At 56.3% G+C, this 13,821-nt stretch overlaps 1 protein-coding gene across 5 annotated transcripts in view, besides 7 other annotated features; it reads right to left on the bottom strand.

Moving 5' to 3' along the window:
* PCGF3 (polycomb group ring finger 3) overlaps positions 1-2,501 on the bottom strand; it is a 64,258-nt gene extending 61,757 nt beyond the window's left edge. For all 5 annotated transcript variants that reach the window (NM_001395245.1, NM_001317836.3, NM_001395246.1 and 2 more), the window contains exon 1: positions 2,363-2,501. The gene's annotated coding sequence lies outside the window, so the exon portion shown is untranslated. The remainder of the gene's footprint in view (positions 1-2,362) is intronic.
* Positions 743-1,727: an enhancer, noted in NCBI's record as "H3K27ac-H3K4me1 hESC enhancer chr4:700395-701379 (GRCh37/hg19 assembly coordinates)". NCBI's record gives its function as "activates a minimal SCP1, AML or CMV promoter by ChIP-STARR-seq in naive H9 embryonic stem cells {active_cell/tissue: H9 hESC(naive)}" and the evidence as "EXISTENCE:reporter gene assay evidence [ECO:0000049][PMID:30033119]".
* Positions 1,728-2,713: an enhancer, noted in NCBI's record as "H3K27ac-H3K4me1 hESC enhancer chr4:699409-700394 (GRCh37/hg19 assembly coordinates)". NCBI's record gives its function as "activates a minimal SCP1, AML or CMV promoter by ChIP-STARR-seq in naive H9 embryonic stem cells {active_cell/tissue: H9 hESC(naive)}" and the evidence as "EXISTENCE:reporter gene assay evidence [ECO:0000049][PMID:30033119]".
* Positions 1,728-2,778: a biological region, named in NCBI's record as "H3K27ac-H3K4me1 hESC enhancer GRCh37_chr4:699409-700394".
* Positions 2,079-2,778: a silencer, noted in NCBI's record as "silent region_15106". NCBI's record gives its function as "represses an Ori minimal core promoter by ATAC-STARR-seq in GM12878 lymphoblastoid cells {active_cell/tissue: GM12878}" and the evidence as "EXISTENCE:reporter gene assay evidence [ECO:0000049][PMID:35858748]".
* Positions 3,754-4,481: an enhancer, noted in NCBI's record as "H3K27ac-H3K4me1 hESC enhancer chr4:697641-698368 (GRCh37/hg19 assembly coordinates)". NCBI's record gives its function as "activates a minimal SCP1, AML or CMV promoter by ChIP-STARR-seq in naive H9 embryonic stem cells {active_cell/tissue: H9 hESC(naive)}" and the evidence as "EXISTENCE:reporter gene assay evidence [ECO:0000049][PMID:30033119]".
* Positions 7,039-7,539: an enhancer, noted in NCBI's record as "H3K4me1 hESC enhancer chr4:694583-695083 (GRCh37/hg19 assembly coordinates)". NCBI's record gives its function as "activates a minimal SCP1, AML or CMV promoter by ChIP-STARR-seq in primed H9 embryonic stem cells {active_cell/tissue: H9 hESC(primed)}" and the evidence as "EXISTENCE:reporter gene assay evidence [ECO:0000049][PMID:30033119]".
* Positions 13,004-13,504: an enhancer, noted in NCBI's record as "H3K4me1 hESC enhancer chr4:688618-689118 (GRCh37/hg19 assembly coordinates)". NCBI's record gives its function as "activates a minimal SCP1, AML or CMV promoter by ChIP-STARR-seq in primed H9 embryonic stem cells {active_cell/tissue: H9 hESC(primed)}" and the evidence as "EXISTENCE:reporter gene assay evidence [ECO:0000049][PMID:30033119]".

Raw genomic sequence — 13,821 nt, 5'->3', positions numbered from 1 at the left:
CTCAGTGACTTGTTCAGGAGTCCCAGCCCTCTGAGGACCTGTCTGGAAGTTCCAGCTCTCATCAGGTCCTCTTTGAGAGCCTAGCCTTCTTCCCAGTCCACACCAGTGTCCCGACCCTAAGTGACCCCGTTTGAGGTCCTGGTCATCTAGAAGCCTGTCCATGTCATGAGCCCTTCTCACTGTCCAGTCTCAGGGTGCCGGGCCCTGGGAGAAAACAGGGCTGTCTCAGGGTCCCGGCCCCCAGGTGAAAACAGGGCTGTCCCAGGGTCCCGGCCCCCAGGTGAAAACAGGGCTGTCCCAGGGTCCCGGCCCCCAGGGGAAAACAGGGCTGTCCCAGGGTCCCGACCCCCAGGGGAAAACAGGGCTGTCCCAGGGTCCCGGCCCCCAGGGGAAAACAGGGCTGTCCCAGGGTCCCGACCCCCAGGGGAAAACAGGGCTGTCTCAGGGTCCCGACCCCCAGGTGAAAACAGGGCTGTCCCAGGGTCCCGACCCCCAGGGGAAAACAGGGCTGTCCCAGGGTCCCGGCCCCCAGGGGAAAACAGAGCTGTCCCAGGGTCCCGGCCCCCAGGTGAAAACAGAGCTGTCTCAGGGTCCCGGCCCCCAGGTGAAAACAGAGCTGTCTCAGGGTCCCGGCCCCCAGGGGAAAACAGAGCTGTCCCAGGGTCCCGACCCCCAGGGGAAAACAGGGCTGTCCCAGGGTCCCGACCCCCAGGGGAAAACAGAGCTGTCCCAGAGTCCCGACCCCCAGGGGAAAACAGAGCTGTCCCAGGGTCCCGACCCCCAGGGGAAAACAGGGCTGTCCCAGGGTCCCGGCCCCCGGGTGAAAACAGGCTGTCCCAGGGTCCCGGCCCCCAGGGGAAAACAGGGCTGTCTCAGGGTCCCGGGGGAGACGGGGCAGTCTCAGGGTCCCAGCAGTGCTCACAGGACTCACAAGACTGCTCCAGGGTCAGGTCCTCCTGAATTATGGTCATGGGGTCCTGGCCCTCGTCTGTGACCCACTTTAAGGCAGGACCTTCCTGGGGGATCTATTCTGGGGTCCTGGCATTCTTTGGATTCTGCCTGGTCCCTACGTCTGGCCCTCCTCCGTGATTCTTCCCAGGGTCCTAGCCCCCCCGGGCCCTGCCAGGTGGCCAGGTCCGACCCTCCTTGGTGACCCATCTTGGGGTCCCAGCCCTTCTCGGTGACCTGTCCCAGGGTCAGACCCTCCTGGATGATGTGTCATTGTGTCCTAGCACTCTGGGGGTCCTGTGCAATCCCAGAGCCCAACTCTCTTCAGGTCCTGCCTGGTCTGAAGACCCAGCCCTCCCGGGGTCCTGCCTGGGCTGGGGTCGCGACCTTCCCAGGGTCCTGCCTGGGCTGGGGTCCCTACCCTCCCGCGGTCCTGCCTGGGCTGGGGTCTTTGCCCTCACCTGGGTCCTGCCTGGTCTGGGGTCTTCGCCCTCCCTGGGTCCTGCCTGGGCTGGGGTCGCGACCTTCCCAGGGTCCTGCCTGGTCTGGGGTCCCTGCCCTCCCGCGGTCCTGCCTGGGCTGGGGTCTTCGCCCTCACCTGGGTCCTGCCTGGTCTGGGGTCTTCGCCCTCCCTGGGTCCTGCCTGGGCTGGGGTCGCGACCTTCCCAGGGTCCTGCCTGGTCTGGGGTCCCTGCCCTCCCGCGGTCCTGCCTGGGCTGGGGTCTTCGCCCTCCCTGGGTCCTGCCTGGTCTGGGGTCTTGGCCCTCCCGGGGTCCTGCCTGGTCTGGGGTCCCTGCCCTCCCGCGGTCCTGCCTGGGCTGGGGTCTTCGCCCTCCCTGGGTCCTGCCTGGTCTGGGGTCTTGGCCCTCCCGGGGTCCTGCCTGGTCTGGGGTCTTGGCCCTCCCTGTTCTGGGGTCTTTGCCCTCCCTGGGTCCTGCCTGGGCTGGGGTCTTCGACCTCCCGGAGTCCTGCCTGGGCTGGGGTCTTGCCCTCCCTGCGTCCTGCCTGGACTGGGGTCTTGCCCTCCCTGCGTCCTGCCTGGGCTGCTGTCCCAGCCCTCCCTGGGTCCTGCCTGGGCTGGGGTCTTCGACCTCCCGGAGTCCTGCCTGGGCTGGGGTCTTGCCCTCCCTGCGTCCTGCCTAGGCTGGAGTCCCAGCCCTCCCGGGGTCCTGCCTGGGCTGGGCTCTTGGCCCTCCCGGAGTCCTGCCTGGGCTGGGGTCTTCGACCTCCCGGAGTCCTGACTGGGCTGGGGTGCCGGCCCTCCCGGGCCTGCCAAGGGCTTCCCGGGCCAGGCCGACGGGGACGACGGAGCGCGGGCCCGGGGTTCGGAGCCTTCCGGGCCGGACACGGGCCGAGGCCGCAGCCTGAGGAGCGGGCGCCGAGGGCCCAGGCCAGGCGGGGCGGACTCACTGACCTGCGGTCTCGGGGCTGCGGGCGAGCAAGGCGCACGCGGGGTCCGCGCCGGAGGGGGGAGGGGGCGCCGCTCCCTCTGGGTCCCCCCCAAGAGGAGGAGAAAAAAGCCCGTCCGGAGTTTAAAACAAAGAGGCGGAAATGCCCGAGCCGAGCCGAGCGCCGCGTCGGGGGCGCCGCGCTCGGAGCATGCGCGGTGTGCGTCTGGGCTCCCACCCCGCGGCAAGGGGCGTGGGCGGGGCCAGGCGGTAAGGGGTGGGGATAGGGGCGGGGAGGGGCGTGTTCAGAGGGCGCAGGCGCGTCGGGCCTGGACTCGGCGGAGGGAGCCGCGGGGCGCGAGGGCCAGGGGCGAGGCATAGGGCGGGGCCATGAGGGGCGTGGTCAGGAGAGCGACAGGGCCGCGCTGTGCTGAGGGACCCGACGGGTCCTGGACGATCGTGAGCTGGGGCGCTGGAGCAGCAGAGTCCTCAGGCCCGGGTCCCTCCGGGGGTGCCGTCCAGTACGGGTGCTGCTGTCCTTTGTGGGAGCCGGGACTGAGCGCCCTCCCGGCAGGGTTAAGGGTCGGTGTTAGGGTCAGGGGTCGGGTTAGGGGTCAGAGTCAGGGTTAGGGTTGGGTTTAGGTTTAGGGTCAGGGTTAGGGGTTAGAGTCAGGGTTAGGACTGGGTTTAGGGCTAGGGTCAGCATTAGGGGTTAGGGTTAGGGTTGGGTTTATGGTTAGGGTCAGGATTAGGGGTGGGGTCAGGGTCAGGGGTTAGGGTCTGGTCTAGGGTTAGGGTTGGGTTTAGGGTTAGGGTCAGGGTTAGGGTTAGGGTTGGGTTTTAGGGTTAGGGTCAGGGTTAGGGTTAGAGTCAGGGTTAGGACTGGATTTAGGGTTAGGGTCAGCATTAGGGGTTAGGGTTAGGGTTGGTTTTACGGTTAGGGTCAGGATTAGGGGTAGGGTCAGAGTTAGGGGTTAGGTTTAGGGTTAGGGTTGGGTTTAGGGTTAGGGTCAGGATTAGGGGTGGGGTCAGGGTCAGGGGTTCGGGTCTGGTCATGTTTAGGCTTGTATTTAGGTTATGTTCAGCATCAGGACGGACAGGGCACCCACGTGCGGACTCTCCGACCTGGGTGCCCTCCGCCAGGGTGGAGCAGTACGGGCGGCATTTGCGCCTTCGTGGGACTGGCACTGTCCTGAGAGGGCGGGATCCGAGGACCGAGGGCGCGTGCGGGGGTGAGGCGGACGTGCAGGCACGCGGGGTCCTAGGGTCTCCCGGTTTGCGGGTTCTGGGCTGGCGGCCCAGGACGGGAGGGCAGGTTGGGTCTTGGGTGGGAAGCGAGACCACTGTGGTTCCGGGCGGCGGGGCACCGCGCAGTGTGGAGGCTTGGTGGCGAGAGGGGAGGCCCCGTAGGCCCAGGGGCACTCGCTGCGAGGCTGTGCGGTGCAGGCATGGAGCAGGAGTCGGGAGTCATTAGCTCGTCCCGTCTGGAGAGGTGGTGGCTGAGGGAGTGACCCTGCGACTGTCCCCGTGAAGTCTAGAGTTGGACCCCGGGAGCAGCCACCAGGCAGGGGGCCCCGGGCCCAGGTATGGTGCAGCACGTGGGGAAGCGGCTTGAGTCCGCTGCTGAGAGGGGCCTGAGAAGGGCTGGGGGCCTGCTGAGATCTCCAGCACTGGGTGGACACGTTATCCGGGTGGGAGGAGGACAGACAGCAGACATGTGAATGTGTACAGCATTCCCAGGCATGCTGCTGTGAAGGGGAGGGACTAAATGTGGCCACTGCTGCCCCCGGGGGAGGGGAGGCAGGGAGGGCTCCGTGGAGCCATGGGGTGGCCCAGTGCAGGGGAGGGGCCCACTGGAGAGGGCTGCCTGGGATTGGGGTACTGGGGTGCTGGCCCTCCACAAGAGCCCTGACTGCAGTTTTCAGTTGGTGGAGGCAGGCCCCAGATGTGGAGGGGAGGACTGGAGGATCATCCCAGAAGGAGGGCAGGGGCAAGGTATTGGTGCTGGGGTGCAAGGGGCAGGGGGTGGCCAGCAGGCCAGGAACAGTCCTGGGCTGAGTGTGGTGGCCTCAGGAAGAGGCAGAGTGGTAAGCTGCAGTTCAGAACTCACTCCAGGCCCCAGGCCCCTCCTCAAGGAGGTGCAGACCCTACCCCTAGGCTTCCCACTACTCTCCTGGGTGGGTGCCAGCGGTGCCCGGACCTTGACTCTGAGCCCTGGGCTCTTGTGTCCAGCTCTGTTTCTGCTGAATGTCATTAGGAAGCTTAAATGCCACATGGCCGGATGGCTTCCCCAGGCCATCCTGAGTCTGCTGTGTACCCCAGGACCCCCCACCCCCCACCGCCAGTCCTGAGGCAAGACCCCAGAGTCCTCTGCACCCTCTTCCTCTCATGCCCAAACTGGCCATCCATGGCCCATCGGCAGCCAGCCAGGTCTCCCACCTGCACCCTCCTGGGACCTCACTCAGCCAAGGCCCGAGGGTGGAGGCATCGGGGCCAAAGAAGCCTAGGGTGTTGGCAGTGTGTGCTGTCCTGGTGTGAGTTCGGGGTGTGCACATATTACATACAGGCACGTATTCCTTAGCAGAGCTGTAAAGAAGGGAGGCAGGAATCATGGCACAAGCAGACTGGAGTAGAGGGGAGGCCCCTGTCCCCCCCAGAGGGTGCCCCAACCTTCCCCAGGGTGCCGGTCCGCCCTCCCTGCCCACCCAGTCACTAGGGCCTCCTAGGGCCATTGGGTGCCTCTCTGGCAGATCATTCTGGTCACTCACAAACTGGCAGAGGGTCTGCCCATCCTTGAGGATGGAGCAGAACAGAAAGAGCTCGCTGGACCCTGTGCTTCTCTGCTGTCTTCACAGCGTCACTCTTCAGGAACTCTTTCTCCAATTTCCCTCCCCGAGTTCTCTCTTAAGCACATCAGGCATCTGCGCCTACCCCCATGTCTCAACCAAATGCTCCAGGACTTTGTGGGGTAAATCCAACTGCCTTTGTCACCACCCTTTCTGTTGCTGGGGTACAGACATGTGGTCTTGTTCCCAATTGCTCTCTTCTGTTTTCATCAGAAAGTCCTGCCAGCTCTGTCTTGGAAACTTCCCATCATCCAACCATGGCTTTCCAAGGCTGCTCTGGCCCAAACCCGCCCTGTCCTGCTGGAACTGGTGCCACAGCCTTGGGCCCCCCACCCCCAGTCAATCCTCAACAGAGCAGCCAACCAGCGGGTCCCGTCACACCCAAGTGGGAGCGCTCCACCCAGCGCGTGATGATAAGGACGTCCTCTGAGGTCCCTGCTCCCACCTCTGCCTGTTTCCCCAAGCTCACTCCACCCAGAGCTCTCCCTGACACTCACTCACCTTGTTGGCAAGGCTGTCAGGAAACAGGGCTCTCAGACGTGAGTGGTGGGAGCAGAGGAGCGTTTGACAGTATCCAGCAAAGTACACGGGCATTTATCCTTCAGCCCAGTGGCCCCCAAATAGGACTTTATTCCAGAGATAAATGGCAGGAATAAAAAAGATGGATGACCAAGGCTATTAATTGCAGCATAATGTATAACAGAAAAATTGAAAACATGGCCATCCACACGGTTAATCGGATACACTCTTGAACCTCCACACCTTGGATAGTGAATAAAGAAGAGATAAAGATAAAGAAGACTGATAAAGAAGAGACTGATGGTACCACACACTCTTACTTACAGAGTGACCTCCGGTATCCAGGATATGCTGTCCTGCGAGATGAGAAAAGGGCTCACAGTTGCTGCCATTTACCTGGAGCAGGGACCATTGAAGTTCTACCCATTTACCATTGAACATTCTACCCATTTGCCTGCCCTAAAAATGCTTTGTGGAGGCCAGTGTGGCTCACACCTGTAGTCCCAGCACTTTGGGAGGCTGAGGCGGGAGGATTACTTGGGCGCAGGAGTTTGAGACCAGCCTGGAATAACATAGTGAGACCCCATCTCTTTTCTTTTCTTTTCTTTTCTTTTCTTTTCTTTTCTTTTCTTTTCTTTTCTTTTCTTTTCTTTTCTTTGATATGGAGTCTCACACTGTCACCCAGGCTGGAGTGCAGTGGCACGATCTCGGCTCACTGCAGCCTCCACCTCCCACGTTCAAGCAATTCTCGTGCCTCAGCCTCTCAAGTAGCTGGGATTACAGGCATAAGCCACCACACCTGGCTAATTTTTGAATTTTTAGTAGAGATGGAGTCTTGGCATGTTGGCCAGGTTGGTCTCGAACTCCTGACCTCAAGTGATTCACCTGTCTCGGCCTCCCAAAGTGCTGGGATTACAGGCATGAGCCACCATGCCTGGCCCCTGTCTCTTAAAAAAAATAAAAAATAAAAAAATAAAAATAGGTGGGGTGCAGTGGCTCATGCCTATAACCCCAGCACTTTGAAAGGCCGAGACTGGTGGATCATTTGAACCCAGGAGTTCAAGACCAGCCTGAGCAACATGGTGAAACCCTGTTTATACTAAAAATAAACAACAACAAGTATCTGGGCATGGTGGTGCATGGTGGTGTGCATCTGTGGCCTCAGCTCCTTGGGAGGTTGAGGTGGGAGGATTGCTTGAGCCCAGCAGGTGGAGGTTGCAGTGAGCCGAGATTGCACCGCTGTACTCCAGCCCAGATGACAGAGGAAGACCCTGTCTCAAAATAAAATAAATAAATAAATAAATCCCTGTGGATTCTGGGAAGATGGTGGCAGTAGCAAGAATTTTGTATCTCCCCGAATTCCCTCATGAGACTCATAAAACTACAAGGCAGATCAAAACTGAGGTGCACAGCACTGACTGCAAAGCCAGAAGATGACGTATTTTCACACCAGGGGGAGGCAAAGCTCACAGCCTCAATCTCTGTGCCATCGGCATGTGTGTGCAGGGCGTGAGTTTACCCTCTTTCCCGAAGCAGCTGAAACAGTGGACAAAATACATCCAACGATCTTCAGACACTGGGCATCAGGGAGCACAGGACATGGTGCCTGAGAGAGGAGCAAATGGGGCGAGGCCTAAAGGAAGCCTCCTGGCTGCAACTCAGGGAGAGGAGCTGGGCGGAGGAGGCAAAGCTGGGAGTCAGGGAGGCCCACACACCAGAGTCCACAGGGCAGGGACGGAGAGGAGGGACTGCCCACAGCCAGAGCTCCAGGATGGGGCAGGCATGTGGGAGCTGCCCGGAGCTGGCAAGGACTCTGGAAAGAAGCTGGCGGAACAGGGCTGGGAGTCTTTGCACCCCCTCCGGCCCCAGGATGTCCTCGTCGTCCCAGGGGCACCAGGCAGGGCGGTCAGCTGTGGGACAGGAGCGAACTCTGCGCTGGTCCAGACTCCAAAGCTCAGAAGGCTGGAAGGACCAATGTGTCTCCAAGTAACTTGACTTTGTGTCCAGAGCAAAACACAGGGATATTTAATAGGAATGCAAATATACTCAGAACTCAACAGGGAAAGTGAACAACGCCTGCATCTAATCAAAAGTCATCAGACATGCAAAGAGGAAAATATGACCCGCGACGAGGAAGAAACTCCATCAGTGTGCGCCGGCCACGACTGAAGCCACTGATTGAAGCACAGTAAGGATGCTTGCACCACGAATGCATAATGCCACTGAAAAAGCTGCTGTGGATGGGTTCTGGGGCGCCAGCTTGTTATTTACAAAACTGGTGAAGGGTGGGCGTCAACCAGCCTCTCATCTTCCCTTATGCACACGACACCTCGGGGTGGCCAAAGATCTGGCGAGTGCTGGCTTCTCTCTAGGAACATTGCAGCTGGTAAATGAAGAAAGTATAGAATAAACTCTCCCCCGTCACAGCCCCAGTGAGATAATGACACAGGTAACAACCGTCATTGATATGAACATTACCAGAGAGACAGCCGGATGTCATGGGCCTCCTGGTAGGAAAGCGACACGGCTACAACGAGATCTTGCTTAAAAATCCACCCTGAATACAGGTGCAGCAGGTGCTCCGTCCCCCCACCCAGCCTCGCCCCTCTGGCTGCTCCGTGGGAGGCCCCCCAGTGGGTCTTCGTCCCAGGCCTTCTCTGGCTGGGGCCCACGGTGCAGGGGGAGCTCTCCCAGGGACTCAGGCAGCCCTGGGATGCACCTTTTCTTCAGCGTTGCTGTTTCTTCCCATTTCACACTCTCTGCCCCTTTCTGACTCCCTAAGGTGGTCGCCCGAGGAAAGATCCCAGCCCAACCCACCCCAAGCCCCTTAGCTCAGGCTCTGCTTCTTGGGGACCCACACTAAGACACTGATTAGGCCTCCGGGTCTCACACTGATTTATAGAATTCGGGGACAGGCGGGAGATGCCTTGGAATGTCAGCAGAAACTCTCAGGACTAGGAACTGTTTCTTCCACAACCAGCTGTGCAGGGGATTGAAGAAGATACAATGAGAGAAACAATCGAGAGGAAGTGAGTGTAGACCTATGGCTTGATTTGCATCCTGAGTCACGCAAACTGAAAACGAAACGAAGCACATTACGCAACAATCGTGGTGAGGGACACTGATTAGATATTTGGTAATGTTGAAAATCAGCCGGGCCCGGTGGTTCACGCCTATAATCCCAACCCTTTGGGAGGTCAAAGTGGGTGGATCACCTGAGGTCAGGAGTTTGAGACCAGCCTGGCCAACATGGTGAAACCCCATCTGTACTAAATATACAAAAAAAATTAGCTGGGCGTGGTGGTGGGCACCTGGAATCCCAGCTACCTGGGAGGCTGAGGCAGGAGAATTGCTTGAACTCAGGAGGCAGAGGTTGCAGTGAGCCAAGATAGTGCCACTGCACTCCAGCCTGGGCGACAGAGCGAGACTCCATCTCAAAAAAAAAAAAAAAAAAGATTGCCGCCCTCGCTTGCTGCTTGTGCCGCCTGCCCACCTCAGGCGCCCTTCAGTCTCCTTCCACTTCTCCCTCCAGACGCCAGGCCCCTCTGGGAGCCGGAAGTGCCCGCAGGTGCCCTGCAGAGGAGGCCTCATGGGAGTTTGTTGGGTGAACGCATCAGTGAATGCCTGTTTCAATCAACCAGGTGGAAATCTTGGAAATAAAATTTATAGTCCTGGACACACACGAAAACCAGTCCATGAGGTAATTCACAAACCAGTTGAAGAGCTTGGTGTGGCTGTAAGTGACGCTGCTGAGGACAGGGAGGCAGGGAAGCAGTGGAAGCGCAGGGGAGCCAGGCAGGGCTGAAATCGCAGACGTGATGATCTCACAAGAGCAGAGGAAGAGAGAGTCGTGAGGAGCTTCAGACTTGAGGACTAACCTGACTCTGCAGGTGGAGACGCAAACACCGTGCTAGGAACATGCTCGGACGCCTGGTAGGATGCCGGATATGGGGAGGCAGGACGCCCACAAAAGAGTCAGAAGAACCAGACCCTGAGCAGCTGGCACATCACCAACAACTGAACCCAAGTATCATTTAACCATCGCCGGAGAAATAATTCCAGCCGTTCACCTGTGTGTGTGTGTGTGTGTGTGTGTGTGTGTGTGTGTGTAGTTTTTTGTTTTGTTTTGTTTGTTTTCAGACGGAGTCTCGCTCTTGTCCCCCAGGCTTGAGTGCAGTGGCGCGATCTCGGCTCACTGCAACCTCCGCCTCCCGGGCTCAAGTGATTCTCCTGCCTCAGCCTCCTGAGTAGCTGGGATTACAGGCATGTGCCACCATGTCCGGCTAATTTTTTGTATTTTTAGTAGAGACGGAGTTTAATTTTGTATTTTTAATAGAGACGGGGTTTCACCATGTTGGTTGGGCGGGTCTCGAACTCCTGACCTCAGGTGATCCGCCTGCCTCAGCCTCTCAAAGTGCTGGGATTACAGGCGTGAACCACCGCGCCCGGCCTGTGTGTGCGTGTTTTTACACAAAACTAAAACTCAGCAATGACCACCAGAAAGCTGCGTGTGGTGTGGTGAGCAGGGAGCACGCTCTAAAGCCCCGGCCTGCTCAGAAGAGCCTGGAGACACTGCATGGACTTGGCCTATCTTGGAATAATGTGCAGTTAACTGTGTAGGTTAAACATCGAATGTCAACGGCCAGGCACGGTGGCTCGCGCCTGTAATCCCAGCACTTTGGGAGGCTGATGCAGGCGGATCACTTGAGGTCAGGAGTTTTGAGACCTGGCCAACATGGCAAAACCGTCTCTACTAAAAATACAAAAATTAGGCGGACGTGGTGGCACATGCCTATAATCCCAGTTACTTGGGAGGCTGAGGCAGGAGAATCCTTTGAACCCGGGAGGCGGAGATTGCAGTGAGCCGAGGTCGTACCACTGCACTCTAGCCTGGGCGAGAGAGGGAGACTCTGTCTCAAACAAACTAACTAACTAACCAATATAGAACACACCGCACAAAGAGCATCCAGTGTGGACTTCAGGATGGACTTCGGTTAAGAAGATCGTGTCGATATCGGTTCATCAATCCTAACAAAAGTACCAAACTCATGCGAGATGTAGATAACAGGGAAGTGGAGTGCAGGGTTTGGGGGAGAGAGGGGTATATGGGAACGCCGTACTTTCTGATAGATTTTTCTGTAAATCTAAAATTGCTCTGAAACATAAAGTCTAATAATTTTAAAAAGCAAATAAATGTAGCCAAAGAGTGCAAAACTAATATTCTGAAAGCTACAACTACAAACCATGACCAAAAGAATCTAAAGAAGGTCTAAGTAAATGGAAAGATGTCCTGCGTCCGTGGTGGGAAGACAATATTGTTAAGGTGTCTCCAACCTAATCATTCAACACAATCCATATCAAAGTCCTAATGAGCTTTTTTCAGAAATTGACAAGCTGATCCTAAAATTTATATGGAAATTCAGGGGACTCAGAATAGCCAAAACAACCTTAAAAAGAACAAAATTGGTTGGGTGCAGTGGCTCACGCCTGTAATCCCAGTACTTTCGGAGGCCGAGGCAGGTGGATCACCTGAGGTCAGGAGTTCCAGACCAGCCTGGTCAACATGGTGAAACCCCGTCTCTACTAAAAATACAAATATTAGCCAGACGTGGTGGCAGGCGCCTGTAATCCCAGCTACTCGGGAGGCTGAGGCAGAAGAATCGCTTGAACCCAGGAGGTGGAGGTTGCAGTGAGCTGAGATCGCGCCACTGCACTCCAGCCTGGGCAACAGAAGGAGCTCCATCTCAAAAAGAAAAACAAAACAAAAACAAAAAACAAAGATAGATGCTCATTTCCAACATATTCAATAAAAATTTGATAACATACACAAAGTAGTTATGCCACACTATACACAAAATGTTAGATATCAGTCATACCCACAGAGAAATTAGACACATACACTACACACAGGCATGTGCGCGCGCACACACACACACACACAATACCTACCTGCCAAAAGACAGGCAAAAACATTAAATACCCATCTCAAAGTTTTTTTTTAAATTTTATTTTGAGACGGAATCTCGCTCTGTCGCCCAGGCTGGAGTGCAGTGGTGCGATCTCCACTCACACTGCAAGCTCCACCTCCCAGGTTCACGCCATTCTCTTGCTTCAGCCTCCTGAGTAGCTGGGACTACAGGCTAATTTTTTGTATTTTTAGTAGAGATGGGGTTTCACCGTGTTAGTCAGGATGGCCTCGATCTCCTGACCTCGTCATCTGCCCGCCTCAGCCTCCCAAAGTACTGGGATTACAGGCGTGAGCCACCACGCCTGGCATTTTTTTTTTTTTTTTTTGAGACAGAGTCTTGCTCTATTGCCCAGGCTGGAGTGCAATGGCACGATCTTGGCTCATGCAACCTCCGCCTCCCAGGTTCAAGCGATTCTCCTGCCTCAGCCTCCCGAGTAGCTGGGATTACAGGTGCCTGCCACCACGCCCGGCTGATTTTTTGTATTTTTAGTAGAGATGGGGTTTCACTGTGTTAGCTAAGATGGTCTTGATCTCCTGACCTCGTGATCCATCCGCCCGCCTCGGCCTCCCAAAGTGCTGGGATTATAGGCGTGAGCCACCGCGCCCAGCCTCCATCTCACAGTCTTAAAGCAGGTTAGACCCTATTGGGAGGCAATTTTCCACACCTCATGTTTCTCCACGGTCCAGGTCCTCAGAGTCACTGAAACCACGTTAAGAATGTTTGTCCAGGCTGTGCAAGGTGGCTCACGCCTGTAATCCCAGCACTTTGGGAGGCTGAGGCGGGTGGATCACTTGAGGTCAGGAGTTCAAGACCAGCCTCGCCAACACGGTGAAACCCCGTCTCTAGGACAAAGACCTCCTCCACCCCTACAACGCCTCCCACCTACCTCTGTCCCTGGAGAAGGCTTACTTACACACCAGAGAAGAGACCAGGTTTGTCTCTCTGGAAGCGAGGATGAGGAGGCCCCCAGCAGCCACATAAAGGAAAAAAGAGTTTCAGCCGGGTGCGGTGGCTCACAGCTATAATCCCAGCACTTTGAGAGGCCAAGGCGGGTGGATCACAGGGTCAGGAGTTCGAGACCAGCCTGGCCGACATGGTGAAACCCCATCTCTACTAATAATACAAAAATTACTGGGTGTAGTGGCACGCGCCTATAATCCCAGCTACTCAGGAGGCTGAGGCAGGAGAATCGCTTGAACCCGGGACGGGGAGGTTGCAGTGAGCCGAGCCTGTGCCATTGCACTCCAGCCTGGGCGACAGAGCAAGACTCCGTCTGAAAAAACAAAAAAGGATAAGAGAGTTTCCTAAACTTGGGGTTCTTCCCCAACATGCACCTGCTGCCTGTCCAAGTTCCACCCACATCGTCCCGTCCACCCACGGGAACTGATGTTTCCCGTGTCCACGTATGTGTGAAATTGGCTGGCTAGCTTGTTAGCTTGTGAGCAGAGCAAAGTCTCAGGCACTTCAAGTCTCTGATTTAACACATGTTCATTTTATAACACACACACACACACACACACACACACACACAAACTCATTTCACACCATGTAGATAAGAAAGTAGATACCTGATCACACAATGTACAAAATATTAGTTAACTATTTAAACCCTACACACACACACACACACACACAAAAATTCTTCTTCACCTTCTTTTTTTTTTTTTTGAGACGAGAGCCTCACTCTGTCACTCAGGCTGGAGTGCAGTGGCAAGATCTCAGTTCACTGCAACCTCCGCCTCCCCAGTTCAAACGATTCTCCTGCCTCAGCCTTGTTTGAAATGCTTGTTCCCCGGTGCTGTAAAGAAATAGCACTGGAACATAAATTTAATTTACTCAACAAGGCCATTTCTTACTTTCTGCAGAAAGGGCACACTCGCCAGCAGTTTTGCCGTGAAGGTACACCGAACAAAGGAGACAGGGTCATTTATAACCTGACGCGTCCCCCCGACTGCTGTGTCTGGTTTCCATTGGCTGGAACGGGACCTCACATTCTGTATTGGTCGCGATTGGCTAGCAACTTAGAACTTTTCAAAAGAGGCAAAGGCAGAGGAGAACAAAGGAAGGAGGAAGTAATTTGTGGAATGCTGAGAAAGGTAAAAACACCTTCAAATAAGGAAGAGGAACAGACTGTGACCTAATGCTTGCTGG

This window comes from Homo sapiens, chromosome 4 (genome assembly GCF_000001405.40).
Source record: "Homo sapiens chromosome 4, GRCh38.p14 Primary Assembly".
In the NCBI taxonomy this organism is placed as follows: domain Eukaryota; kingdom Metazoa; phylum Chordata; class Mammalia; order Primates; family Hominidae; genus Homo; species Homo sapiens.
Note: the sequence above shows the minus strand (reverse complement) of the source record. Positions and strands in the feature narration are given on the sequence as shown.